The sequence below is a fragment of the Homo sapiens genome, chromosome 10 (genome assembly GCF_000001405.40).
Source record: "Homo sapiens chromosome 10, GRCh38.p14 Primary Assembly".
In the NCBI taxonomy this organism is placed as follows: Eukaryota; Metazoa; Chordata; class Mammalia; order Primates; family Hominidae; genus Homo; species Homo sapiens.
In genome coordinates this window covers 1,751,827-1,779,374 of record NC_000010.11, presented here as the reverse complement: position 1 = coordinate 1,779,374, position 27,548 = coordinate 1,751,827, and the positions used below count along the sequence as shown (strand labels likewise).

Here is a 27,548-nt window from a genome sequence, read left to right as displayed (position 1 = left end):
GCCATTCTGCCACCGCTGTGCAGTGGAGTCACTGTCAGCGGCATCATAAAGAGCTGTGGGTGTGGCTGGGTGCAGTAGCTCGTACCTGTAATCTCAGCACTTTGGGAAGCCAAGGCCGGCAAATCATTTGAGGTCGGGAGTTTGAGACCAGCCCGGCCACCCTGGAGAAATCCCCGTCTTTGCTAAAAATACAAAAATTAGGCAGGCGTGGTGACACGCACCTGTAGTCCCAGCTACTCAGCAGGCTGAGGCAAGAGAATCACTGGAACCCAGGAGTCAGAGGTTTCAGTGAGCCAAGATTGCACCACTGTACTCCAGCCTGAGCGACAGAGCGAGACAAAAAAATAAATACAAAATTAAAAAGTCGTAGGCCAGCTTCCCTCTGGTTATCCCTTGCTTTGCTTTCTCTTTGTGGCTCAGTCAATGACACAACTGTGGTCACTGGACGCAGACCTCGACCACATCTTGAATCCCCTGGTAAACTTTTGCATGAGGAAGAACATCAGACTGGGGTGCAGAAGAGGATTCCTTCTAATGGCCCGTGGGCACTAGGAAGCCCATGCCTTCCTCATTATTTAATTGTCTCCCTGCCTGGGGAGAGCCAGCACACAGCGAGAGCCACAGGTGCTGCACGCGGATGGCACTGAAACGGAGCTTGCTCTTTTCTCTGACACGCAGCTCCCAGTAACATCACGATGGATCTGGCCTGATTAATCACTTACGAGATGTTGGAAAAATCACCCAACACATTTTTTTGTGCAAGATTCCTCTATTTGAACACTCTCAACTTCCCATTACCATGGAAACCATAAAGATTCAACTGTGAATTTCAGTTTGAGATTTTTTCCTTGGCTGGTTGTGTATAATTAACTTTTGTCATATCATGTATTTTGATACTCCAGAGAGGGCTGCTGTAATACTAACAAGCCCAACTATACTCTATTTTAAAAGGTGGAAACCCCACAGTGGTGTCTAGGAGACGGATTCTTGTTCTAACTTGACTACAGCTGCATGGATCAGAAAAGGGGAACTTTTGTTGGCCTGGCCATCCTCAGTCTCAGTGGTGGCTGCAGAGAAGTGGTTCAAGAATTATCTGAAGTCTGGCTGGGCACAGTGGATCATGCCTGTAATCCCAGCACTTTGGGAGGCCAAGGCAGACAGATCACTTGAGGTCAGGAGTTTGAGACCAGCCTGGCAAACAATGGTGAAACTCCGTCTCTGCTAAAAATACAAAAATTAGCGAGGCCTGGTGGCACATGCCTGTAATCCCAGCTTGGGAGGCTGAGGCAGGAGAATGACTTGAACCTGGGAGATGGAGGTTGCAGCGAGCCAGGATTGTGCCACTGCACTCCAGCCTGGGCAACGAGCAAGACTTCGTCTCAAAAAAAAAAAAAAAAAAAAAAGAAAGGAAACAAAATTATCTGAAGTTCTTTCCAACACAAAAATCCTGTGAATCAATAATTGTTGTAATTGTCTTCTCTCTCAGATTAGAAACACAAGCAATAGTAATGTCTGAGCACTTTGAAGTCAATGATTCCATCTCAAAAGCCTAAACACTCTTCTCAATCAGATTGATAGACATTCTAGGGAACACTAAAGAAGCTTTAAAGCTTGGACCAGTAGGCAAGTGGAAGTCAACGGCATTCAACCTATTAGTAAGCAAGATACTAGCAATAATAATAATGATAATGATAAAAATTTCTACTCCTTAAGTGACTGCATGTGCCAGGCACTGAGCTAGGTTATTATAGTATTTGATGGAAACGACTTTTGACAGGTCACTATTAACATCTGTTCTCATAAGGAAAATTAGTTTCAAAAAATTAAACGGCCAGTCCACGACCTCTGAGTAAGTGGCAGATGGGTGTGAAATCCTCCTGCCTTTCACAGCCTTTTCCCTGCTATTTCCCTATCTCAGCCTGCCTTTTCCACTAGGGGAGCCCCTTGTTTCTGAGAGCCACACTTTACTTCCACTGACCTTTTCTTAAATTATTGTCCCTCAATTTTCTGATAACTAGTACTAAGTTCAGCAATTTATATTCTGATGAAAAAATAACAAATGATATTGAAAGCTCATATTTGCAACATTTCCGTTCATTGTGCACGGCAAAAAAATAATAATCCAAAGCAGGTTGTCTCCTTCCAAAAATGATTTTAAAATATCAAGAACTGCCTGTGAAATATGGCACTAAAACAAAGTGTCAAAGGGTCCAAGAGGATACCAGTAAAATAGCTCTGTCCCCAACAGCAAATCCAAACAGGTCTGCAGCAAACTCACTCCTTGCCATCTCCCTCAGAGGAGGAAAGAATTCAGCTGAGGGGCAGAAGTGGGTTTAAGGCAGAGGGACAGACAAGCAAGTTTTAGAGCAGAATTGAGAGTTTATGAAAAAGTTTTAGAGTGGCCGGGCGCGGTGGCTCATGCCTGTAATCCCAGCACTTTGGGAGGCCGAGGTGGGCGGATCAGGAGGTCAGGAGATCGAGACCATCCTGGCTAACACAGTGAAACCCCACCTTCACTAAAAATACCAAAAAAAAAAAAAAAAACAAAATTAGCTAGGCATGGTGGCTGGTGCCTGCAGTCCCAGCTACTCGGGACGCTGAGGCAGGAGAATGGTGTGAACCCGGGAGGCGGAGCTTGCAGTGAGCAGAGATCGAGCCACTGCACTCCAGCCTGGGCGACAGAACAAGGCTACCTCTCCAAAAAAAAAAAAAAAGTTTTGGAGCAGGAACAAAAGGAGGTAAAGTACACTCGGAAGAGGGCCAAGCAGGCGATGTGAGAGGTCTCAGTGCTCCATCCACCCTTGACTTGGGGTTTTTTGTGTTGGCATGGCTCTGGGGTTTGCATTTCTTCTCCCTTGGTTCTTCCCTTGGGGTGTGCCGTCCGCGTGCACAGCGGCCTGCTAGTGCTCAGGAGGGCCGCAGGCACGGTGTTTACTGGAGTTGTGCGCATGCTCACTTGAGGCATTCTTCCCTTAGCAGTTGGGCGTCCTGGAAGAAGGTCATATACTGGTTAAACTCCGCCATTTTGCCTCTTAGTGCACATGCTTGAGTTTGTTCGTCCAACTGCTGAGGTCTTATCGGGAAGCTGCTGATCATCAGCTTCAGGTGTTTTCTATGGAGAGGCTGCCTTTCCCTGGCAGCAGCTGCAACCAATTATTATTTTGGAGAGACAGTTTAATAACTGCCTGACCATCACCTGAGGGTCACCTGACATTCCTGGACGGGGGGCCCTCTCCTGCCCTGCTCATGTCACTGAGCTCCCTACTCTAATAGATCGTTCCATGTACATGTGTGTGCCCATGTACACATGCATAAATACATGTGTATTCAGAGGTTTGTTTTGATCTCCTTCTTCATTATCTATTGGTGCAGAAAATTTTTATTGCAATGTTTCAGACTGTTAATGCTTTTGTGCTGATTAAGACCTAATACTACTGGACAATTCAGTCAATGGAGAGTCTTGTGTTCTGAATGCCACAGAAATAATAGCCAGAGATGGGAAGCCACTGGAACTTTAAATATCCACACACATAACCCAGCAGAAAAACCGTAAGCTTCAATTTTAGTTTGAAAGATAATCACATAGGACTTAGTTTTCCTTTCTCTTATACTTTCTGTCATTTTTAAATGTAGCTGAATGCCCACTGGAACCACTCTGTCCTTAAAGATGTGAATAAAATTGGACCAATGCTCCTGTCCAGGATGATTGTGGTAACAGCCTAAGAGTTCTGAAAACCCCTCTTGCTCTAACTTTTATCCCTTCTCTCTCCCATCTTACTCTCTGCAGCAGTCCTCTTTCCTTTCCCGAATTTCCTTGGGAAAATTTCCTATTTACTCTGGCCCTGGCCTGCTGAGCTGACAGTTTTTTCTTAGGGCATTGACTATTAGGTTGGTGCAAAAGTAATTGCAGTTTTGGACCATGAATTTTAAGTCATTATAACTAGGTTTGAGCACATCTTTTTTAATTTTTTATTATTTATTTTTATTTTTTATTTTTTATTTTTTTTGAGACAGAGTCTGACTCTGTCACACAGGCTGGAGTGCAGTGGCATGATCTCGGCTCACTGCAACCTCCAATTCCATGGAGGGTTCAGAGACCATGAAACCAGCTCCCCACTTCCATCTTTACAGGCTATTTCTGCAATTGCATCCTGTATTTCAAACCCCCAAATCCAGAAGTAGAGTTTCTTAAGCACCTGAAATTGGGAACAAGGAATTGCAACCTACCTGCTCCTACCCCAAAGCCACTCAGAGCTGGAGCCACCTCCTGCATTCCTGGCCCCACCTCTCTCTGCTCTCAAATGGCCAGATACTCTTCTCTGCCTCCTGTCTGCACACTTCCTCAATCTGCTTCCTTAAGTCCTATCGTTTTTTTATTATCACCTCCATTTATTTGACAAAGAGCTGTGGATGTCTCTCTTCCTGTCTTTCCCTGATAAGCGTTCTGCTAAATGAAACACAATGCAGCTATTGGTGCAAATTACCGAAAAGATAATGTTGCCTGACATGGGGTCAATGGTGTTGTTAGCAATGGAAAGGTAGTTTACATTTACACAAAAGATCGTTCGAATTAAAGAGCCTGCAAGTAACCTGCTGGGTATGAAGGGCAGAATTATAAATATGCTAATATGCCTCGTTATCATATGACTTTGTTGCTAATAAAATATTGAAAAATTATAATTATATTAAATATAGTAGACACGGTGCTTTTCACATTCATATCTGATATTTAAACTTTTATCTTGACGGCCACAAATTAAAGAAAGAAATACATTCCACAAGCAAGATGGGTTTTGCCATCAGCTCTTTTTGATTACAAAATGCCTCTTTTAAAATTTGGGATCTTTAAAAAATAATTTTTTTAATTGAATTCATGATAACAATCATTCTTGGGTAAGCATCAGTTTTTTTCTGGGTTCCCCGCCCCCCCACTTGATTTTGACTCTAGGATGTACATCTCACTTACAAAGAGGGAAAACTCCCTATTTGGGGGTTATTCACAGGCCACTGTGAGGTCGATTACAAACGCCCAGGGAGAAGCTCATGATGGCCACAATCTAGTCCAGGGATACTATTTACACGGTAACCTTTCTTGGTTGGATACGATGGCTGTTCTTAAAGTTAAAATGACACATATTTCTGCTACATGTTGAAAATTCATAGCATCCCAGATTTATCCCTTTACAAATCACTTTATTTACTTTTTCTCATCAGATAAAATATCGAGAGTCTGAGATTTAAGTGCCAGGAGTAGTCACTGCCCTGTTGTGTCCTCACTCATCCGGGAAGGAGGGAGAGGCATGAGCCAGGCCAGTTACAGCATAGAATAAAGCCCAGCTGCAGCCATACCTGCGGTCGGAATTACTTCCTCACAGACCATTAGCAGAGGTGAATATATATGAGTCTGCAGCAACTCAATTCTTGCCTCTTCAAAAGAAAGAATTTGGCCAAGGGGCATAAGGCAGAGTGTGAGATTAAGATGACTTTTAGAGCAGGAGTGAGCGTTTATTAAAGTTTTAGAGCAGCAACAAAAAGAAGTAAAGGACACTCGGAAGAGGGCTAAGCAGGCGATGTGAGAGGTCTCAGTGCTCCATCCACCCTTGACTTGGGGTTTTTTGTGTTGGCATGGCTCTTGGGTTTGCATTTCTTCTCCTCTGGTTCTTCCCTTGGGGTGTGCCGTCCGCAGGCCCGGTGTTTATTGGAGTTGTGCGCATGCTCACTTGAGGCATGCGGTCTGCAGGCCCGGGGTCTATTGGAGCTGTGCGCATGCTCACTTGAGGCGTGCGGTCTGCAGGCCCGGTGTCTATTGGAGCTGTGCGCATGCTCACTTGAGGCGTGCGGTCTGCAGGCCCGGTGTCTATTGGAGCTGTGCGCATGCTCACTTGAGGCGTGCGGTCTGCAGGCCCGGTGTTTATTGGAGTTGTGCGCATGCTCACTTGAGGCGTGCGGTCTGCAGGCCCGGTGTCTATTGGAGCTGTGCGCATGCTCACTTGAGGCGTTCTTCCCCTAGCAGCTGAGCTTCCTAGAAGGTCATACACTGGTTAAACTCCGCCACCTTGCCTCTTAGTGCGTATGCTTGAGCCTGCTCGCCCAGCTCCGGAGGTCTTATCGGGAAGCTGCTGATCACCAGCTTCAGGTGTTTTCTATCTATGCGGAGACTGCCTTTCCCTGGCACTGACTGTGATCAATTACTATTTTAGAGAGAAAGTTTAACAACTGCCTGACCATCACCGGATGGTCACGTGGCAGTCCTGGGGCGGGGCCTCTGCTTCCCTGCTCATGTCTGCTGAGCTCCCTACTCTTAACAAGACCACCAGGGCGTTTCCGTGGAGGGTCAGTGTGGATAGAGGAGTAGGATACGGAGATGCTAGATTGAAGCATATACCTCTCAGTATGAAGAACAGGTAAGAATTAGACGCGAGACAGGCATCCAGGTAAGGAGGAGACCTGGATAACAATGGTGATCACTGACCCCCTTTCTCTCCAGGGCACCCAGCACAGGCAGACTCCTTACCACACACATCAACTCTTTCAGGGCTCACCATGCTTAGATTCCCAGCCCAAATCCCAGGACACTCTTGCTCAGTGTCACAGACTACCAATGTCACATGAACTTGCCAGGGCTGGGACCTGAGCCCAGGTCTGATTCCAAAGCCCTTCCTGGGAACAGAAAAAGGAGGAAAAGCAGACCCGGGAGAGGGTCTGGAGCATGAACTGCATGAACTGCACATTTTATTGCCTTGTAAACATTTCTACTGCAGGTGTCCCGATGGCCCAGCAGCGTCTCATCAGTAAAGTTCACCTGGCCAGGCGCAGTGGCTCACGCCTGTCATCCCAGCACTTTGCGAGGCCGAGGCAGGCAGATCACAATGTCAAGAGATCAAGACCATCCTGGCCAGCATGGTGAAACTTCATCTCTACTAACAATACAAAAATTAGCTGGGCATGGTGGCACACTCCTGTAGTCCCAGCTACTCGGGAGGCTGAGGCAGGAGAATCGCTTGAACCCAGGAGGTGGAGGTTGCAGTCAGCCGAGATCACACCACTGCACTCCAGTCTGTGTGACAGAGCGAGACTCCATCTCAAAAAAAAAACGAAACAACAAAAATAGCAACAACAACAACAAAAACCCACCTCACCTCTGCTGCTACCTCTCATGCACAGAGCCAACTCGCACGGTATTTCTGATGGAGAGTCATCCAGTCTGTGGAAAGTTTTCACGTCCTGCCGAGAAACCCTCTTCACTGAGACCTGGCCCTCTTCATTAAGAAATTCCTGCTTTGTATAACAAATGGGTTTTTTTTCAATGCTCAGACACTCATCATCGTCCAATCTCCTGGAGCCATGTGGAGGAAAGCACTCCACCTCCCTCAGAACAGAGTTTCAATAACCGAGGACAGCTTCGACGACTCTCAGCGTCTTCTTCAGGCCAAGCCAGAGCAAACTGGCTCTGCCGTCCTCCGCAGACTGAGCGGTGTCTCCCAACAGCACTCACGGTGAGCGTTATCTAGTGATTGATAATCCAGGTGATCTTGATTACGCTTCTCTAGGTAAATTACAGATTATCAGTGTCGTCTCCCTCTCATGCCCCAGACCATACTTCCTATTTCACTCTTTCTAGCTCTGAATCCGTCCGCGGAACTCACACTGTTGGCTCATTATAAGCTTATTGCCAACTAAAACTCCTAGCTCCATGCCTGGCTGTCTGGGCCCAGCAGGCCCTCCAAATCTATACTTCGGCAGCTAATGTTTTTTTGGTTGTTTCTTCTAAAGGTGAGACTTCACAGATGGCCCTGTTAAATTTGCTTTTCTCGGCCTTGGTCCAGCATTGTACCTGGTCAAGGTGACTGAGATAGGCGAAGAAAGGAAGATGACAGTACAAACTATAAGGATGACTATAAGTCCAAAATGAAATAAATTCAAAATAAAGAGGTCTCAACATAATCAGGAAGAATAATAAACTTCAGGGGCAGGGCCAAGGGTATAAGTCACATAATACTAGACAATGGTTAGGGCACGGGGTGCCATTTCCTTCCACCTCTGTCCAGATGTAAGGGGAGCCGCATTCACGTGGAAATGCGCCTCGTGAAAAGCTAAATACCCCTCATCAGAAACACGTGCTGTGAAAAGCAGGACATCTCTCAGCAAAGCATTTTTCTCTGTCCTGTCTCCAATATGGATTTTCAGTAGCTTTAGAGATGCCGGTCAAGTAGATGGGAACATAAAAATAACCTGACTTAACTGTGTTCCCTGTCCCATATCAAACACTAAAACTGAATTATGTTTCCACATATTCCCAGCTGTCCTATCATCACCTTTATTTATGACATGCATCTGGTAACAGAGGGCAAAGTACATAAAATTCCTTAAAAGAATTAAATGGACTAAAAATTATTAGATTTTTTGTGTGTGTGAATCTGATTTTTTTTTCTTTTCTTTTTTTTATTTTTTTATTTTTTTTTTATTATACTTTAAGTTTTAGGGTACATGTGCACATTGTGCAGGTTAGTTACATATGTATACATGTGCCATGCTGGTGCGCTGCACCCACTAACTCGTCATCTAGCATTAGGTATATCTCCCAATGCTATCACTCCCCCATCCCCCCACCCCACCACAGTCCCCAGAGTGTGATATTCCCCTTCCTGTGTCCATGTGATCTCATTGTTCAATTCCCACCTATGAGTGAGAATATGCAGTGTTTGGTTTTTTGTTCTTGCGATAGTTTACTGAGAATGATGATTTCCAATTTCATCCATGTCCCTACAAAGGACGTGAACTCATCATTTTTTATGGCTGCATATTATTCCATGGTGTATATGTGCCACATTTTCTTAATCCAGTCTATCATTGTTGGGCATTTGGCTTGGTTCCAAGTCTTTGCTATTGTGAATAATGCCGCAATAAACATACGTGTGCATGTGTCTTTATAGCAGCATGATTTATAGTCCTTTGGGTATGTACCCAGTAATGGGATGGCTGGGTCAAATGGTATTTCTAGTTCTAGATCCCTGAGGAATCGCCACACTGACTTCCACAATGGTTGAACTAGTTTACAGTCCCACCAACAGTGTAAAAGTGTTCCTATTTCTCCACATCCTCTCCAGCACCTGTTGTTTCCTGACTTTTTAATGATTGCCATTCTAACTAGTGTGAGATGGTATCTCATTGTGGTTTTGATTTGCATTTCTCTGATGGCCAGTGATGGTGAGCATTTTTTCATGTGTTTTTTGGCTGCATAAATGTCTTCTTTTGAGAAGTGTCTGTTCATGTCCTTCGCCCACTTTTTGATGGGGTTGTTTGTTTTTTTCTTGTAAATTTGTTTGAGTTCATTGTAGATTCTGGATATTAGCCCTTTGTCAGATGAGTAGGTTGCGAAAATTTTCTCCCATTCTGTAGGTTGCCTGTTCACTCTGATGGTAGTTTCTTTTGCTGTGCAGAAGCTCTTTAGTTTAATGAGATCCCATTTGTCAATTTTGTCTTTTGTTGCCATTGCTTTTGGTGTTTTAGACATGAAGTCCTTGCCCGTGCCTATGTCCTGAATGGTAATGCCTAGGTTTTCTTCTAGGGTTTTTATGGTTTTAGGTCTAATGTTTAAGTCTTTAATCCATCTTGAATTGATTTTTGTATAAGGTGTAAGGAAGGGATCCAGTTTCAGCTTTCTACATATGGCTAGCCAGTTTTCCCAGCACCATTTATTAAATAGGGAATCCTTTCCCCATTGCTTGTTTTTCTCAGGTTTGTCAAAGATCAGATAGTTGTAGATAGGCGGCATTATTTCTGAGGGCTCTGTCCTGTTCCATTGATCTATATCTCTGTTTTGGTACCAGTACCATGCTGTTTTGGTTACTGTAGCCTTGTAGTACAGTTTGAAGTCAGGTAGCATGATGCCTCCAGCTTTGTTCTTTTGGCTTAGGATTGCCTTGGCAATGCGGGCTCTTTTTTGGTTCCATATGAACTTTAAAGTAGTTTTGGCAAATTGGATAAAGAGTCAAGACCCATCAGTGTGCTGTATTCAGGAAACCCATCTCATGTGCAGAGACACACATAGGCTCAAAATAAAAGGATGGAGGAAGATCTACCAAGCAAATGGAAAACAAAAAAAGGCAGGGGTTGCAATCCTAGTCTCTGATAAAACAGACTTTATACCAACAAAGATCAAAAGAGACAAAGAAGGCCATTACATAATGGTAAAGGGATCAATTCAACAAGAAGAGCTAACTATCCTAAATATATATGCACCCAATACAGGAGCACCCAGATTCATAAAGCAAGTCCTGAGTGACCTACAAAGAGACTTAGACTCCCAGACATTAATAATGGGAGACTTTAACACCCCACTGTCAACATTAGACAGATCAACGAGACAGAAAGTCAACAAGGATACCCAGGAATTGAACTCAGCTCTGCACCAAGCGGACCTAATAGACATCTACAGAACTCTGCACCCCAAATCAGCAGAATATACATTTTTTTCAGCACCACACCACACCTATTCCAAAATTGACCACATACTTGGAAGTAAAGCTCTCCTCAGCAAATGTAAAAGAACAGAGATTATAACAAACTATCTCTCAGACCATAGTGCAATCAAACTAGAACTCAGGATGAAGAATCTCACTCAAAACCGCTCAACTACATGGAAACTGAACAACCTGCTCCTGAATGACTACTGGTTACATAATGAAATGAAGGCAGAAATAAAGATGTTCTTTGAAACCAACGAGAACAAAGACACAACATGCCAGAATCTCTGGGACGCATTCAAAGCAGTGTGTAGAGGGAAATTTATAGCACTAAATGCCCACAAGAGAAAGCAGGAAAGATCCAAAATTGACACCCTAACATCACAATTAAAAGAACTAGAAAAGCAAGAGCAAACACATTCAAAAGCTAGCAGAAGACAAGAAATAACTAAAATCAGAGCAGAACTGAAGGAAATAGAGACACAAAAAACCCTTCAAAAAATTAATGAATCCAGGAGCTGGTTTTTTGAAAGGATCAACAAAATTGATAGACTGCTAGCAAGACTAATAAAGAAAAAAAGAGAGAAGAATCAAATAGACGCAATAAAAATGATAAAGGGGATATCATCACCGATCCCACAGAAATACAAACTACCATCAGAGAATACTACAAACACCTCTACGCAAATAAACTAGAAAATCTAGAAGAAATGGATAAATTCCTCGACACATACTCTCTCCCAAGACTAAACCAGGAAGAAGTTGATTCTCTGAATATACCAATAACAGGAGCTGAAATTGTGGCAATAATCAATAGTTTACCAACCAAAAAGAATCCAGGACCAGATGGATTCACAGCCGAATTCTACCAGAGGTACAAGGAGGAACTGGTACCATTCCTTCTGAAACTATTCCAATCAATAGAAAAAGAGGGAATCCTCCCTAACTCATTTTATGAGGCCAGCATCATTCTGATACCAAAGCCAGGCAGAGACACAACCAAAAAAGAGAATTTTAGACCAATATCCTTGATGAACATTGATGCAAAAATCCTCAATAAAATACTGGCAAAACGAATCCAGCAGCACATCAAAAAGCTTATCCACCATGATCAAGTGGGCTTCATCCCTGGGATGCAAGGCTGGTTCAACATACGAAAATCAATAAATGTAATCCAGCATATAAACAGAGCCAAAGACAAAAACCACATGATCATCTCAATAGATGCAGAAAAGGCCTTCAACAAAATTCAACAACCCTTCATGCTAAAAACTCTCAATAAATTAGTTATTGATAGGACATATCTCAAAATAATAAGAGCTATCTATGACAAACCCACAGCCAATATCATACTGAATGGGCATAAACTGGAAGCATTCCCTTTGAAAACCGGCACAAGACAGGGATGCCCTCTCTCACCACTCCTATTCAACATAGTGTTGGAAGTTCTGGCCAGGGCAATTAGGCAGGAGAAGGAAATAAAGGGTATTCAATTAGGAAAAGAGGAAGTCAAATTGTCCCTGTTTGCAGACGACATGATTGTATATCTAGAAAACCCCATTGTCTTAGCCCAAAATCTCCTTAAGCTGATAAGCAACTTCAGCAAAGTCTCAGGATACAAAATCAATGTACAAAAATCACAAGCATTCTTATACACCAACAACAGACAAACAGAGAGCCAAATCATGAGTGAACTCCCATTCACAATTGCTTCAAAGAGAATAAAATACCTAGGAATCCAACTTACAAGGGATGTGAAGGACCTCTTCAAGGAGAACTACAAACCACTGCTCAAGGAAATAAAAGAGGATACAAACAAATGGAAGAACAAAGAAGAGAAGCAGATGAACATTAATACATTTGAATAAAAACAGATTTTTAAATAAAAACTACATTAAATATTCTCTCATGGCCAGGCATGATGGCTCACGCCTGTAATCCCAGCACTTTGGGAGGCCGAGGCAGGCGGATCACCTGAAGTCGGGAGTTTGAGACCAGCCTGACCAACATGGAGAAACCCTGTCTCTACTAAAACTACAAAATTAGCCGGGCGTAGTGGTGCATGCGTGTAATCCCAGCTACTTGGGAAGGCTGAGGCAGGAGAATTGTTTGAATCCAGAAGGCAGAGGTTGCAGTGAGTTGAGATCATGGCATTGTACTCCAGCCTGGGTGACACAGTGAAACTCCATCTCAAAAAAAAAAAAAATTCATTTTCTTCCTTATATGTCATTAAGCAGAAGAATTTAAAATTCTATTTCCTCGGGAAAGGTATTTCTGTTTAGGTCTAGAACTGGCTCTCATTCAACCTTGCGTATGAAAACACGCAGAGCTTGAGAAGATCAGTGCTTATCTAGAAGAAACATTCTGGGTAACCTTATGTGCCATATTCCAGTGAGAAGATGAGGCAGCTCATGCCAGCCCAAGGAGGAGCCAGGGAGGAACTGCTCAGAGAGCCCAGCGTGTATCTGCAAAGGACGAGACCCATTCGGACTTGCCGGAGTGCAGAGGCCTAGGGAGAGCTCCGACCAGTTGTCACCTCCACAGCTGTCCATGCGGGAGGACTGGCCGGGAGTGCAGAGGCCACAGGAGAGCTCCGACCAGTGGTCAGCCACCCCACAGTTGTCCATGCAGGAGAGCTGGCCAGAGTGCAGACACCACAGGAGAGCTCCAACCAGTGGTCACCTCCACGGCTGTCCATGCAGGAGGACTGGCCAGGAGTGCAGAGGCCTCGGGAGAGCTCCAACCAGTGGTCACCCCCACGGCTGTCCATGCAGGAGGACTGGCCAGAATGCAAAGGCCACAGGAGAGCTTGGACCAGTGGTCACTCCCAGGGCTGGCCATGCAGGAGGACTGGCTGGAGTGCAGAGGCCACAGGAGAACTCCGACCAGTGGTCACTCCCAGGACCTCTCTTTATAAGGCCACCAGTTCCACTCCCATGATTACCCATTAATCTATTAACCCATTAATTTATTGATCCATGAGTCCGCCAATAGATTAATCTATTCATGAAGTCAGAGCCTTCACGATCCAATCACCTCGTAAAGGCCCCAACTTTCAATACGACCAAACTGGGGATTAAGTCTCCAACACATGAAATTTGGGGGACACACTTAAACCACAGCAAATATCAGGAGTTCAGGCCAGGTTTTCAGAGGTAGAAAGTGTTTTGTTTGGTTTTGCTTTGTTTTGTTTTGTTTTGTTTTTCCATCAACATTTTTGAAAAGGGAAGCGGGAGAGGCAAAAATGTGAGTGGTTTCTGATTCACCCCAACACACATACTGCTTACTAAAGAGGCCAGAATGCATATATATGTATTCGTATACATATATACACAATGTAATATAGTGTATGTGACATATGTATATGTTTAAATATACATCATGTAATGTAATACAGGCATCTGCATGCGTATATACAATGTAATATAATGAACTAATGTGTATAAATGTATACATACACATGTATTCACTATTTTTTCCCGTGGGACTACTCCAGCGAATAGTGTGTGTGCTTTGGTGCCATGAGCCCTGAATGCCCCCAAAGCTGACACTGTCAAACCATAGTTGATGCCTTGGAAATCACCTGGGCCCTGGGGTCAGGATCTCTGTCTTCCCTCAGGAGCATGAGACTGAGAATGGAAAGCAGCGTGAAGGGAGAACTGGGGGCTCTGGAGTGAGGCAGACCGGTTTCTGATCACGGCTCTGGGATTCGAGCTGCGTGGCTTGGGTGGCCCATCCGCCCATTTCCTCACCTGTACAACCATGGCAATGCATCTCCTCATTCTGGCTGGGTGAAGGTGAAGGCTCAACAGGATAATGTGTGTGTGTCATGTTCTGCCCAGAGAAGCTCCCCAAAGATGGTTCTCATTGAAATAAGCCGGGTGCTCTCCATAGCCTCACCCTCCTAGACTTTAAAGTGGCGGGAGGGGCCAGCTTCCCCTTCCTGCCTTAACGTACCCTGAAGACTCACTGAATACATGTAAGAGACAGAAGCCTGATCATTTTTCAGTGCCTTGTTAGAGACAAGAGAAAAAAGAATAATTGCAATTGGTCCCACTGGGGAAGGGGTATTGAGACAAACACAACTATCTTTTTTCTCCAATTAAGAAACGGTATTTATTCCAGGTACTCACCAAATAAAAATCACTCAATAATAATTATTAATTAAAGTCTGGGCCTGGCGCTGTGGCTCACGTCTGTAATCCCAGCACTTTGGGAGGCTGAGGCAGGCAGATCACGAGGTCAGGAGATCGAGACCATCCTGACTAACACGGTGAAACCCCGTCTCTACTAAAAATAGAAAAAATTAGCCGGGCGTGGTGGCGGGCGCCTGTGGTCCCAGCTACTCGGGAGGCTGAGGCAGGAGAATGCGTGAACCCGGGAGGCGGAGCCTGCAGTGAGCCGAGATCGCGCCACTGCACTGCAGCCTGGGCGACAGAGCGAGACTCCGTCTCAAAAAAAAAATAAAATAAAATAAATAAATAAATAAAAAAGTCTGTAACAGGTTACTGCTATACCAAAAATAAGCATGTCTTAAGACAGTCCCTGGGAATGCCGTCTAGGGAGACTTAGTCATATCAGCGAATTTAGAAGGGGAGGCACACTTAAAAATCGGGGCACACATCGTTCCCCAAGTTAGAATTTACTTTTTTTTTTTCAGGCCATGAGTTAGACTTCGATCTTGACAGATTTAAGGGGTAATTTTTTACAGTATAAGATGGCATGAAATGTATTTATTGACATTTCAAATTACAGCATTTTCAGTGAGAAAGATGTCTAATTTTGAGCCACTAAAGCAGCATGCTGTAGTCATATATTTCTTGCTGACTAGTAATCATTCAGATACAGGGTTCTTATTTATAGCAGGTATCTAAGATGGGAGTGCCACGTACAAAAACTGTTGTTAAATAGACAAAAAGTTATTGTGATTATTCACATGCTTCACTCGATTTCAAAATGCTGAAGAATTCTATGATATTTCTGCATTTAACAACCATGCCAGCTCAATACAAAATATGAAATCATTATTTCCTGACATTAATGAAGTCAACTTTTCCAGCACAATTTGAATAGGCAATTGAACAGCGAGACTCAAAAATGCATTAAAACCGGATCAGCTGCTTCCTGCTTCCAACAATATGTCCACAATTCCATGAAGGGTAATCTTAAACCATTTTTTAGAGCAGCCTGTACATCTTTATCTTAAAATTCCAAATGCTTCAACAATAGACAATTGTTAAGAACTAGACAATTATTTTTCGGCACCCATTGATTAATGACTTAGTCCATGTTGCAGGGAAACTGCAGAACAAAGGGGTCCGTTATAATAATGCACAGGCATTAAACCATCTTCATTAACAGGATTTTCTGAATTCAGTTTAGCATAAAACCAAATATGCCATCAAGAAAGTGGAGAGGTGAGAATTTTAAATATATTTTGAAAACTCACTTGATAAAAAGAAGATTAAATAATGGTACTGCCCTCTATTAAAATTCCCTCTCTCACTCACTCTCTCTCACACACACACACACACAGGGTTAACCCAGTTAAAACTGTCATAAAACTGCATTTTTAACAGCACAATAAATTAATAATACTTATACATTCATATATCCTCAGTCATTATTAGCATTCGGGAGAACGTACAGTATTTTATGTAATTACAATCTGTTAAACATAAAATGCGATAAAATAACAGAGTGTGAGAGTGGCCGTCCTACGTCAGTAACCTTGCTATGCAATCACAGCAAGGAAGACATGGTTTAAGAAAACAAGATGGTTTTTTAAAAAGTTGTCTTGGGGCTAAACTTTGTCAATGAAAGTCCTGTTCATGACAGAACTGTTGCAAATCCAAGGCATACTTGTGAAACTTCATCCATTTGTTCATCAGAAGGATTCACGAGGCTTCCATAAAGGGACAGGAGGCATAGAAAGTTCTGCTCTGCAGCAGTTGTTCCTCTCTACTTAGACATCTTACTCCTCTACAGACCAATCAGTAGAAGTAAGTCAGGCCATTTCCTTTGGGATTGAAATTGGCATAAGCGCTCACAGACCTGGACGTGACCAGTCCTCACGGGTAATTAGCCCATAACAGGACTCTATTACCAAAGCAACACAGGAAACCCCACTTCCACGGCAAATGACCACATTACTGCAGGCTCTGAGGGCAACCAATCGGGCTCAAATTTTATACAAAGAATTGGCCATTGGGGGGTTTTGTGTTATAATTTAATGGAATTTACAAATGTTTGTAACATACTATTATCCCACAAAACAACAACAACAACAAAACAACCAGCAACATCAATAATGACAGCAAAAGAATCTCGTCATGGCAGTAGATTGAACTTCTGAAAGTAACTTTATGCGTGCAAAGGATGGAAATGTATGTGTGTGAGTGTGTGTGAGTGTGCGAACAAAAACAGACGAAGAGATTTCTGAATGAATCAGACTGCTGGACTATTGTTTTAAAGCCCCGAGGATTGGGACATTCATGCTTTAAGTTTTTGCCTTCGTATCCAGGACTTTCTCACCCTTTTCAATCTTTCCAGCATCAGCTTTTAATCGAGGTGACCTAATCCGACCTGGAGGTTAATGACACAGAGTGTGCAATTAATCCGTGAGGCTTTCTGGGCACTTAAGCCTGAACGGCATCTGGCTGCTGGTGCTGATCTGCTTAAGATGATGATCAGCTGCTGGTTTTCTTGGAAGGGAGGAATTAAGACTTCAGGACAGCCTTGCAAAAGGAGAGCCCTTCACTCTCTCCTGTAAGATAGAGACAACGGGATTCAAAGGACAGGACGATGGAGCTGAAAGTTGGGGAGGGCTGTAGAGTGAGAGACTGGGGGAATTAAGTAAATATCACCAAGGGTTTCAACCAAAAAGCTGTCTACTTTACCCAGGAGGGGCAGCCATGACCTGCGTGAAAGAGTGATCTGCAGCAAGAGGCTTTCTTTCTCAGCCTGGAGTCGCTCATCTTTAGATGTGGAGAGGGACCACCTCCAATACCCTGCAGCATCAGGGCATTCTATGAACAAAGGCTTTAGATAAGGTACTGCTTCTTTGGCCTCAGGGCTTTTTCAGTAAAACCTTCCCCTTCTTTGGGGGGTACTCTTTGCACCCCACATTCATATTCACTCAGTCGCAATCACTGAGCAGGTCTCATCTCAGTTGTCGCTTTTTTAGTGGAAACCTTAAAAAGAAAAAAAAAAACTTCTATTTTAGGTTCCAGGGTACATATGCAGCTTTGTAATCTAGGTAAACTCATGTCCCTAGTTAGGAGGTGTGTTGTACAGATTATTTAGTCACCCAGGTACTGAGCCTGGGACCCAGGAGTTATTCTTCCTGGTGCTCTCCCTCCTCCCACCCTCCCGAGAGAGCAATGGCCAGGTCGGTGCTCCCGGAGCCTGTGGGCCTGTCTTGGGAACGGACCCCTCAGCTGGGGAACCACCTGGTTGATTGTGTTATGTCGGTCTTCACTGTAAAGAAGGCAAGAAAAGGGCTGTGTCTGCCCCGGGTCCTGACTATAATCCATCATCCAGCACAGGGATAGGCATGAAAAAGGGCCTGGAAGGGAGTAAGTGAACCAAGAGTACTGTGCAGATTTAAACACAGATTCTCATGTTCTCTGAAGTCAACTTGACCCTGAATCAGCCTCAACCATTGCTCCCCTGGAAAACACAAGGTTAGGTTCCTGAAAGCCACTGGTCACACATTTTCGTCAAATAGTCAATAGCTAACCTTGTTGGGTGTGTGCTTCTGTTTAAAGATGCCGTGTTTAATAACCATTGCGGACTCATTGACATTGGACCTGAGGCTCACACCCCATAACCCAGGCCTGACCAAAACTTCTCTAACACAGAGGTTTCAACGTGGATTTCTCTGAACACAAGTGATGTTGAACATTCTTTTATCTCCTTATTGACCATTCACATGTATTCTTGTAAAGTGGTTGTTCAAGCCTTTTTCTTGCTTTTTATTGTTGTTTAGTTGCAGGGATTCTTTTTATAGTCTCAATATATATCCCCTGACAGATACATATTTTGGAAATATTTTTCCCAATCATTGTTTTGCTCATTCACAAATTTTAATAGTGCATTTTGATGAGAAGTTTTATTAACTTTTATGAAGTCTAATATACTTCTTTTTTAATGACTGTGATTTCTGGGTCCTGTGTAAGAAATGTTTATCCTTGGGTTTGTGAAAATATCCTCTTATATTTTCTGCTATAAGTTTTATGTTTTCATTTTCGTTGTTAAATATAAGATCCACCTTGAATTAAGTTTTGTGTACCGTGTGACTTGGGGGTTGTGTTTTCTATTTTAACATATGATGTGGGGTAGTGCTCAGGATGGTTTTGTTTTTTTGTATTTATTAAGGAGACTTCGTTTAACCATTTAATTGCTTTGATGTTGCATTTAAAAGTTAGTTTGCCAGCCAAGAGCAGTGGCTCACGCCTGTAATCCCAGCACTTTGGGAGGCTAAGGCAGGTGGATCACTGAGGTCAGGAGTTCGGGACCAGCCTGGCCAACATGGGGAAACCCTGTCTCTACTAAAAATACAAAACAATTAGATGGGCATGGTGGTGCGCCACTGTAATCCCAGGTACTCTGGAGGCTGGGGCAGGAGAATTGCTTGAACCTAGGAGGCGGAGGTTGCGGTGAGCCGAGATCGCACTACTGCACTCCAGCCTGCGTGACAAGGGTGAAATTCCATCTTAAAAGAAAAAAAAATCAGTTTGCCATCATGAATGGGAAGCTCTAGGGCCTGTCATTTTGTGTCCCCATCTCAATGTGTCTCTCCCAAGGCCACCCTGCAGCCCGCAGAAGCTGCCCTGTGCGATGGCTATGAGAAGGTGGGAGGCAGGTGCTGGTCAGAGGCTCCCAAGGGCAGCTTGGCTGTGACAAACACCCTGCTATCTCCTGCTGTTTTGCCAGTACCACCCACCTCTTCACCTGTGTGGCTGGGCTGACCCTGCCTTCAAGGAACACTTGGCTGAGCTCATCCCTGACTTGAACATGGACTTTGCATGCTACTACACTTTGACCACCAGCCTGACAGTGGCAAGAGAGGAAGATTGAGGCCCAGGCAGAGGTTTAGGGACCCCTGGCTTCTCGTGCACCACCAGCACCATTGGTAAGTAGATCGTTAAGTGGTGGGAACTAAACATTCCATTGACAGCATTAGTGTTGATCTATGTGTAGAACTATGAGGATTCACCTTTCCTATCTATAGACCAATATTCGGTTTCTTGATTGCTGCAGCCTTAGGTCTTGGTGTTAGGTATTACAGGTCCTCCAGCCTTGTACTTAATTTTCAAGATCAATTTGACTATTCTAGATCCTTCGCAAGTCCATAAGTTTAAGAGATGACTATCAACTTTCACCAAAAGCCACCTACATTATTATTGGGATAGCAGAGAATGTAGAATAGTTTGGGAACAGTTTACATTTTAACAATTTTGATTTTTTAAATCCATATGCTTAACATGTCTATTTATTCAGGACTTCCTTAATTTCCTTCAGGAATCTTTTGTAGTTTTTAGAGAATATTTGTACTAGTCTGTTTACATGCTGCTGATAAAAGCATACCCAAGACTGGACAATTTACAAAAGAAAAGAGGTTTAATGGACTTACAGCTCCACCTGGCTGGGGAGGCCTCACAATCATGGCAGAAGGCAAGGAGGAGCAAGTTACATCTTACATGGATGGCAGCAGGCAAAAAGAGAGTTTGTGCAGGGGAACTCCCATTTTTAAAACCATTAAATCTCATGAGACTCATTGACTATCACAAGAACAGCACAGGAAAGACCCACCCCCATAACTCAATCACCTCCCACCAGGTTCCTCCCACAACATGTGGGAACCATGGGAGTTAAAGTTCAAGATGAGATTTGGGTGAGGACACAACCAAACCATATCAATAGTTCTTATGCTTCTTTGATAAATTTGTTTCTCAAAGTAGTATGTGTTCTAATGGTTATTGAAGATGGAATTATTTAATTGCCTTTCCATAGTTTGCTGCTAGCATATAAAATTCAGTGGATTTTTATATGTCAACTTAGTGTCCTTTGTACTAAATTCATTACTAGATTCAGTAGAATTCTTTATTGTAAATTACTTAGGATTTTTCTACACTTGTGTTGTGAATAAGCACAGTTTAACCTCTCTCTCATATCTATATCTTGATTTCTTTTTCATGCCTTATTGCACTAGCTAGGAATTCAAGTACAAAGTTTAATAGAAATAACAAGAGTGGATACACTTGCCATGTTCCTGGCCTTGTGGAAAATGTTCAGTATTATACTCTTAACTGTGATGTTTGCTATTGACTTTTCCATAGGTTCACCTCCTTGAATCAAGCAAGTAGCCTTGAATTCTCAGTTTGCTGCATTTTAGTATCAGCAATATGCTATCCTTATAAATTGAGTGAGAAAATGTTCTTTTCCCCTCTATTTTCTGAAGGATTTGGGGGTAAGATTGGAATTATTTATTTTGTTAATGTTACACAAAATTTAGTGTGACTAAGTGTCAAGAATTTCTTTTTTTAATGAAGATGTTTTTTATAACAAATTAGAATTGCTTAATAAATGTCATACTCAGATTTCATATTTCATTTCCATCCATATTGGCAAATCGTGTTTTGAGGAAGTTGTCCATTTAATCTAGCTATTTTATTGGTATGAAGTTGATTCATAATATTTCCTTATTGCCTTTCTGATGTTATCAGGATGTGTGGTGATTTTTTTTTTCATTACTGCTATTGGAAGTGTGTATTTTTCTCTTTTTTCTTGATGGGTTCTTTTAGGAGCTTATCAACTTAATTACTGTTTTTCAAAGAACCAGCTTACAGGAAAAGCAGGTGTGATTGAACCGCCACACTCCTCATTTTTTTATTTTCTCCTTGCTCCTTCTTCATGGAGGCTTTATTTTCTCAAGTCTATTTTCTTTGACTTACCAGCTGCCATGGCTTCCATGGGCTCTGACACCACATATTTCCAGGTTCCTAACAGAGAGAGGCTCTTCCCTCCTCACACCCTCTTCCACTGCTCAAGCCAAAAGTAAAGAAAAAGAAGATAAAGAAAACACTTGGGGAAAGATTCTGAGTCCTTTCCTTTGTGTGTCCATGGGTCACGTGGACACGTGTGAATGAACGTGCATCACTGCACTCCACTCCCATGATTCCAGCCCTTTCCCACGATGGGCTCATCTGCCTCATCCCATCAACTCCAGGCTGCCCATGTTACTTGCTTTGGTCAATGAGAGGAGACTGGAAGTGATGTTGATCATGGCTGAGCAGGAGCTTTGAAAGCCATCTCATGGTTCAGTCACTGTTCTTTTCCTTCTACTTTGAGCACAGCAAAGCCCTAGATGAAGGTTGTCATCACCCTGGATTTGAGGATGAGGAGGACCTTGTGGAGCAAGGCCACAGCTGATAGGCAATGGTATTGGAAATGAGCCTTTGCTGTTGTAAGCCTTTCAGATGCCAGGAGTATTTGTTACTGCAGCAGCACCTGGCAGGTGATGACTAATACAGTTGGTTATGGGCCTGGTCCAAGTGTATATGCTTCAAACCCTCATGGCTCCTAAGAATTTTTCATTCAGGGGGCAAATCAGAATTAGAAAAATTGGAGGTGGGAAGGAATATATTCCCTAGCATAGAAGGAGTACAAGAAAAGCATTTTGAGGTGGATCTTGTCTTTGTGTTGATATCAGCCAACCACTCTTCTACTGAAACATTTTCTATGGCTTCTTTACAAAATAAAATTCAAATCTCCATGCTTCCATTAAAAGCCTTTCAATAACTCCCCCAGAATGACTTCCTCAGAACCCCTGAAACAAAGTAGACTATTCCCTTCCTTCTGCCTTTCAGCCTGAAATCTCTCTCCTGCTTCCAAACATACAAATCTGCAACATGAAGCAAAGCCATTTTTCTATTTCAAGGTTATTAGATACTCAAAAATTGTTTACTGGATTAATGAAAACTCACCTGCTAAATGAAGAATTCTCAGAATGCCCCAGCCTTATCTGCTCTTAATTCATATTTATATATATATATATATGTATACACATACACATATACATATACACATATATACGTATTTTCTATATATATGAAAATATATATGTGCATTTTCATATACATATATGTAAATGCATGTATATGTATATGTGTGTGTATGTATATATCAAAATTAGCAGAACTTGTTATAAGACTATATGAATTACTAGTTAACTTTTCATACCTTGGCATCTATTCCTTTGATACTACACAGTTGAAGAATTATGATGTACACATTTCCTGCAGAATATCTTGTGTGTGCCTTATCTGTGGCAGGTATTCAGATATTTTTTGATCGGCTATGATTCTTTCCTTTACTCATTCAGATTTACATGATTGATAACTCAATCTTGGTAACTGAAAATTCTCAGAAATCTTTTTCACTTTTCTAGCCCAAAGTGAATTTTTTGTGTCTTATTTTAAAACTTTATTTCCACGAACATGTGTGTATGCACTTAGAGTTTTTTAAACTACCTTAGCAATTTACTTACTAAAATATAGGTAGATATACTTATCAAAGTGCTGAATGAACTCTAACCATTCATTCCGATACAGCAGGTTACACCAAAAAAATAAAATAAATATTTTCCTTTACACTTTCTATTTTAGATTCAGCATTTCAATTTTCAATTTATTTTTGCCAGGTAAAGCACAGTAATTATTATGTTTTTCAAACATATTCTCTAAACATGACTGTGTTCCTTCTGTTCATTTGTGTGGACTTTTTCTCTTCTGTTTTTAATAATTAATTATCTTGGCATATCATAAAATTTTCTTTCCTAAATTATTCTAAGGCCAGTTTTGCTGGCACAGTTCCACAGGTCTATTCTGGGAGTTCAGCACCTGGGCATCTGGCTGCCCGCTGACTGTCCCACAGCAGCCTTTGCAGGGGGCTGTCTTCACAAACCAGTTGATTCATCTGCACACCGCATCCCCTTTTATTCAATACTTAGCAATAGATTTTTTCTTACATTTTCTTGCTCCATTTTTTTATGAAGCAAAGCAAGGTTGTTTCTGACGACTTAGAGGATGCTTTTGCTGATAAAAGAAAGGCAGGAGGAAGACCTCCCTGAGCCTGCAAGACCAGACCGGCGCTCTCCAGCGACCCCCTGTGGCCACACGGGACAAAGTCTGTCTCTCTGGCGTCATTTGTTACAGTTACTGGGGGGTGTGTGTGTGTGTGTGTGTGTGTGTGTGTGTGTGTGTGTGTGTGTGTGTGTGTTCGGGAGAAAACAGGGTTCTGGTTAGTTGCATTAGCCTGAAAATACGGCACTTGAAGCATTGATAAGCATTGATAGTACTGCACCTTCCTAGAACCCAGCAATAGAGACCTGCAGGCGTGAGTCTCAGGATGGCCTTAGAGTCGAGGGTGTGGCCAGCAGGCTCCGTCTTATGTGAGTGAGGCCGTGAGCTCTACTGGGGAAGCACATTTGTGACCAAGAGAAGAAAGAACTCCCTGGTATTATTCCAAGAACAAAGGAGAGGAAAGTATGTTTTACATAATGAGAACTAATTTATTACGAAATGCTGGTAAAAAGACAAAGCCTATTACAGGTAGCCACAGGCCTGGAGCTGCAGAGGTGATTTCTCTACATTCCAGTGGGACCTTTGGTTCCGGTGTTTCCCTGTCGTGTTGTTTTCAGCTGTGGGGTTTGTTTTGCTCCCTCCCTCTCCTCACACACTGGCATCTGAGCAAACTGGAGGCCTGCAGCGTCCTCGCCCCATGCCAGGTTCTCCCAAGCAGGGCAGCACCTGTGGGAAGGAACCCAGTGTAACGGCCCTTCCCCAGAGGCCCAGCGCTGAAGAGTGTGGGGTGAGGGAAAGAGAGGGCAGGAAGAGCTACAGAGAGAGGGGCCTTTGCTTCTCTCCAGCTACTCAGGGCTTCCAGAGAAATCTGTTTCAGAGGTAAAAGATGGATTCATCTCCCTCTTCCAAGAGTGAGGAGAAGTGGGAACTCGGAGAGTGGGGCAGCTTCTGTGCAAGGTGTCTCCACCCCAAGCCCCCCAGGTGACCCAAAGTGTGCTCTGCAGCTGCCCAAGGCCGTCCCTCACTTTCCAGCCGGTCCTGACAGCTCAGCCACTTGGCCTGAGCGGCTGGCTGGAGCTCAGCACAGACAAGCAGGACTTGAATGATTGCTCTCCGGCCGCACAACAATCCTATTGTTCTGAGCCCCGTGTCTGGCAAAATGCAGTGGAGCCGTAATTGCCGCTGCTTCCTGCACCCTGCAGCACAGCGAGCGGGGGTCAGCATCAGCCACAGGGCCTTCGCCCGGCGCTCAAAGAGCTCCTGTCTCCTCTCGTGCTCAGCTGATAAAATGCTAAATAGCATCAATGCTGACCATGCTTCTGCGACACAGAAAAGACTAAATCGCTTTACACTGCGACTTTGTTTCTCACAGGGAAGTGGAGCTGAGATGGATCACCTTGCGCATGCTCTCCCAACAAACAGAGACGTTTAAAATATCACAAAATCATTTATCTTCTGTAAAAGAGCCCGAGTCCAGCCAATTTACCTTATGATTCATTTCAAGAGACACAGATGATACAAGAAATCACAACAAAAAAAAAACTTCAGTCACCATTCTTATGAGGGGAAATAATTGGAAACTATATCAGAATACGTTGACTTTGACACATGTAGAAATGTACATAGATGGGCCTTTTGGGTTTGATCTTAGTTTGTTGCAGCCTTCATGACCGAGATAGGCAAAATCCTTGTATAACAAGAAGTCTCTAGCCGGACATCTGAATTTCATTTTTAACATTTTTGTTTTCTAGAGAACATTTTGATAATTGGCAAGGAAAACTAAAACAACAGAAACAAATTAGAAAAAAAAAATATAAACCTAAAGTAATTACTTATGAAACCCAGAGCAAAATTTGTTGAAATTTCTTAAGCTTGAAAATTTGAATTTATAGTACACCTAGAGAGATGTGAAAATTCTCTTTCATTTATTTTTTTCCATGTGCACCAAAAAACTTTTAAAGACAACGTAGATAAAAACAAAGGCATAACATACATAAGAAAAAAAACACTTGGGTTTTGAGCACATGTACTAATAGAGCTTCAAAAATAAGCCATTTCCTCTGAGGCGTGAGGATGATGAAAATTTCTGTCTTGAGTTGTAGAGAAGAGTATTTAGAACAATGTCTTTAATATCCACACCCAGATACAGTGGGTAGCAAACCCCAGGTGAGTGTTTCTCATGATTGTAGAAACTGTAATCTATAACACTCTTAGCAGGAAGTATTTAGACTTAGAGAGATGTGGATTTACTGTTTTTTCTCATAGCCATTTTCAGAAAGCTGCCTCCTTCCTGGGTCCTCTGAGACATCAGGTTGAGCAGTATTGTGGCTGTCATCATGAACCTTGTCATCAGGGACAGGCTCCAGTGTGTTTGAAATCACAGCCAGGAGACAGATAGATTCAAGCCACCTGCGGAGGAGGGTGAGCCTCTCTTTTTAACCATCTATGTCCCAAGGGGAAGCTTGATGACACCATATCTTCCCAAGTTTGCTTGATGGACAGTCTAAATAAATACAGTTGTTTCTCTTTTATATCAATAATTTGAACATCCCCCCATGCCTCCAAACACACAAATACTTTGCAGCCCAGTTGCACAGACAGGGTGTACAGAAAGAACTTATCCCTCCCACCCTACCCTGCCTACTTCTGTGGACCATGGACAGCACTGCTCGCACTTAACACATTCTCACAGGTGCCTTCACTCCTCACTTTGTCTTGAAGGCCATTGCCTCAAGTCAATCATTTCTTACCAATTTCCCCAATGCTTTGGAGAATACCTAGCTCTAAGGCTTGCTAACTACAGATCTGGCCAATGAATGAATGCGTGAATGAGTGAGTAATCCTATGGGAGGAAGACCACGACAGCAGTGTTTTTCTGCCATGGTCACTATTATTGCCCATATTTGAAAGGATAATTTCTGCTATTCCTTGTGTTCACATCATAACTCTTAGATGAGACCCTCATTAGGAGTGTGGTCAATTCCAAAAAGCTTAAATAATGAGAATGTACTTGCAATTGTTATCCTAGCTATTTAATAAGCAATTGAAGTTGAAGAATAGCATTATTAGGGTATTTCAGCTGATTGCAAGAGAAAATAACATTAAACTGCTAGTCAGCTTTCCTGCATGAGTATGCTCAATTCCTAGTGCACTTCCCTTTCTTACTTGATAAGTACGTGCCCTTCAGCTCTTGTTGAGAAATAAATTGCCCTACCTAGCTAGAGCAAAATGCTCTGCTAAACCTTCCAACGTAGATGGTGCAGAACACTGGTCCCCAGCATTCCTGTGTGTGTGGAGCAGAGTAGTGTCCCCATCCTTCCTGTGTGGATGGTGCAGAGTGGTGTTCCCAAACTTCCAGTGTGACAGAGCAAAGCAGTGCCCCCAGCCTTCCTGTGTGATGGAGCAGAGCTGTGTCCCTAGCCTTCCTGTGTGAATGGTGCAGAGCTGTGTCCCCAACCTTCCTGTGTGATGGAGCAGAGCAGGGGTCCCCAACATTTCTGCATACATGGAGCAGAGCTGTGTCCCCAGCCTTCCTGTGTGATGGAGCAGAGTGGTGTCTCCAACCTTACTGTGTGTGTGGAGCAGAGTAGTGTCCCCAACCTTCCTCTTTGCATGGAGCAGAGCAGTGGTGATTAAACTTGGCTGTGGGTTCAGGTTGCCTGTGGAGCTTTAAAAGGTGCTAATATTTGGATTCCAATCTCAGAGGCAGTTGGGAGTCCTTGGATTGCTTTTCAATGTCTCGACTTTCCCCCAACTTTTCTAATAAATAAATAAAGTTGAGAATCACTGATGATAAGATGGAATTGACTCTGTACTGACACTATGAAATTCTCTCAAACATTTTTATTTTAGTATATTTGGTACCTATTTTTTGTCATTTTTTTGTGGGTTCTCATAGCTAAGTACTGAAAATTGTTGTATCTAGCTGAAGGGCATTTTGTTTTGAGCTCCTTTAAAATGAAATTGAGATGGAATAAATCAATGAACTGTATTA

The 27,548-nt window shown here is 42.9% G+C and overlaps 1 long non-coding RNA gene across 2 annotated transcripts in view, besides 1 other annotated feature; it reads left to right on the top strand.

The window, feature by feature from the left end:
* Positions 4,124 to 4,833: an enhancer, noted in NCBI's record as "OCT4-NANOG hESC enhancer chr10:1816736-1817445 (GRCh37/hg19 assembly coordinates)". NCBI's record gives its function as "activates a minimal SCP1, AML or CMV promoter by ChIP-STARR-seq in naive and primed H9 embryonic stem cells {active_cell/tissue: H9 hESC(naive and primed)}" and the evidence as "EXISTENCE:reporter gene assay evidence [ECO:0000049][PMID:30033119]".
* Positions 7,086 to 27,548, top strand: part of LOC105376345 (uncharacterized) — a 28,677-nt gene continuing 8,214 nt past the window's right edge. For both annotated transcript variants that reach the window (XR_930537.3, XR_007062033.1), the window contains exons 1-3: positions 7,086 to 7,496; positions 19,404 to 19,602; positions 25,820 to 25,975. This is a non-coding gene — a long non-coding RNA (uncharacterized LOC105376345). The remainder of the gene's footprint in view (positions 7,497 to 19,403; positions 19,603 to 25,819; positions 25,976 to 27,548) is intronic.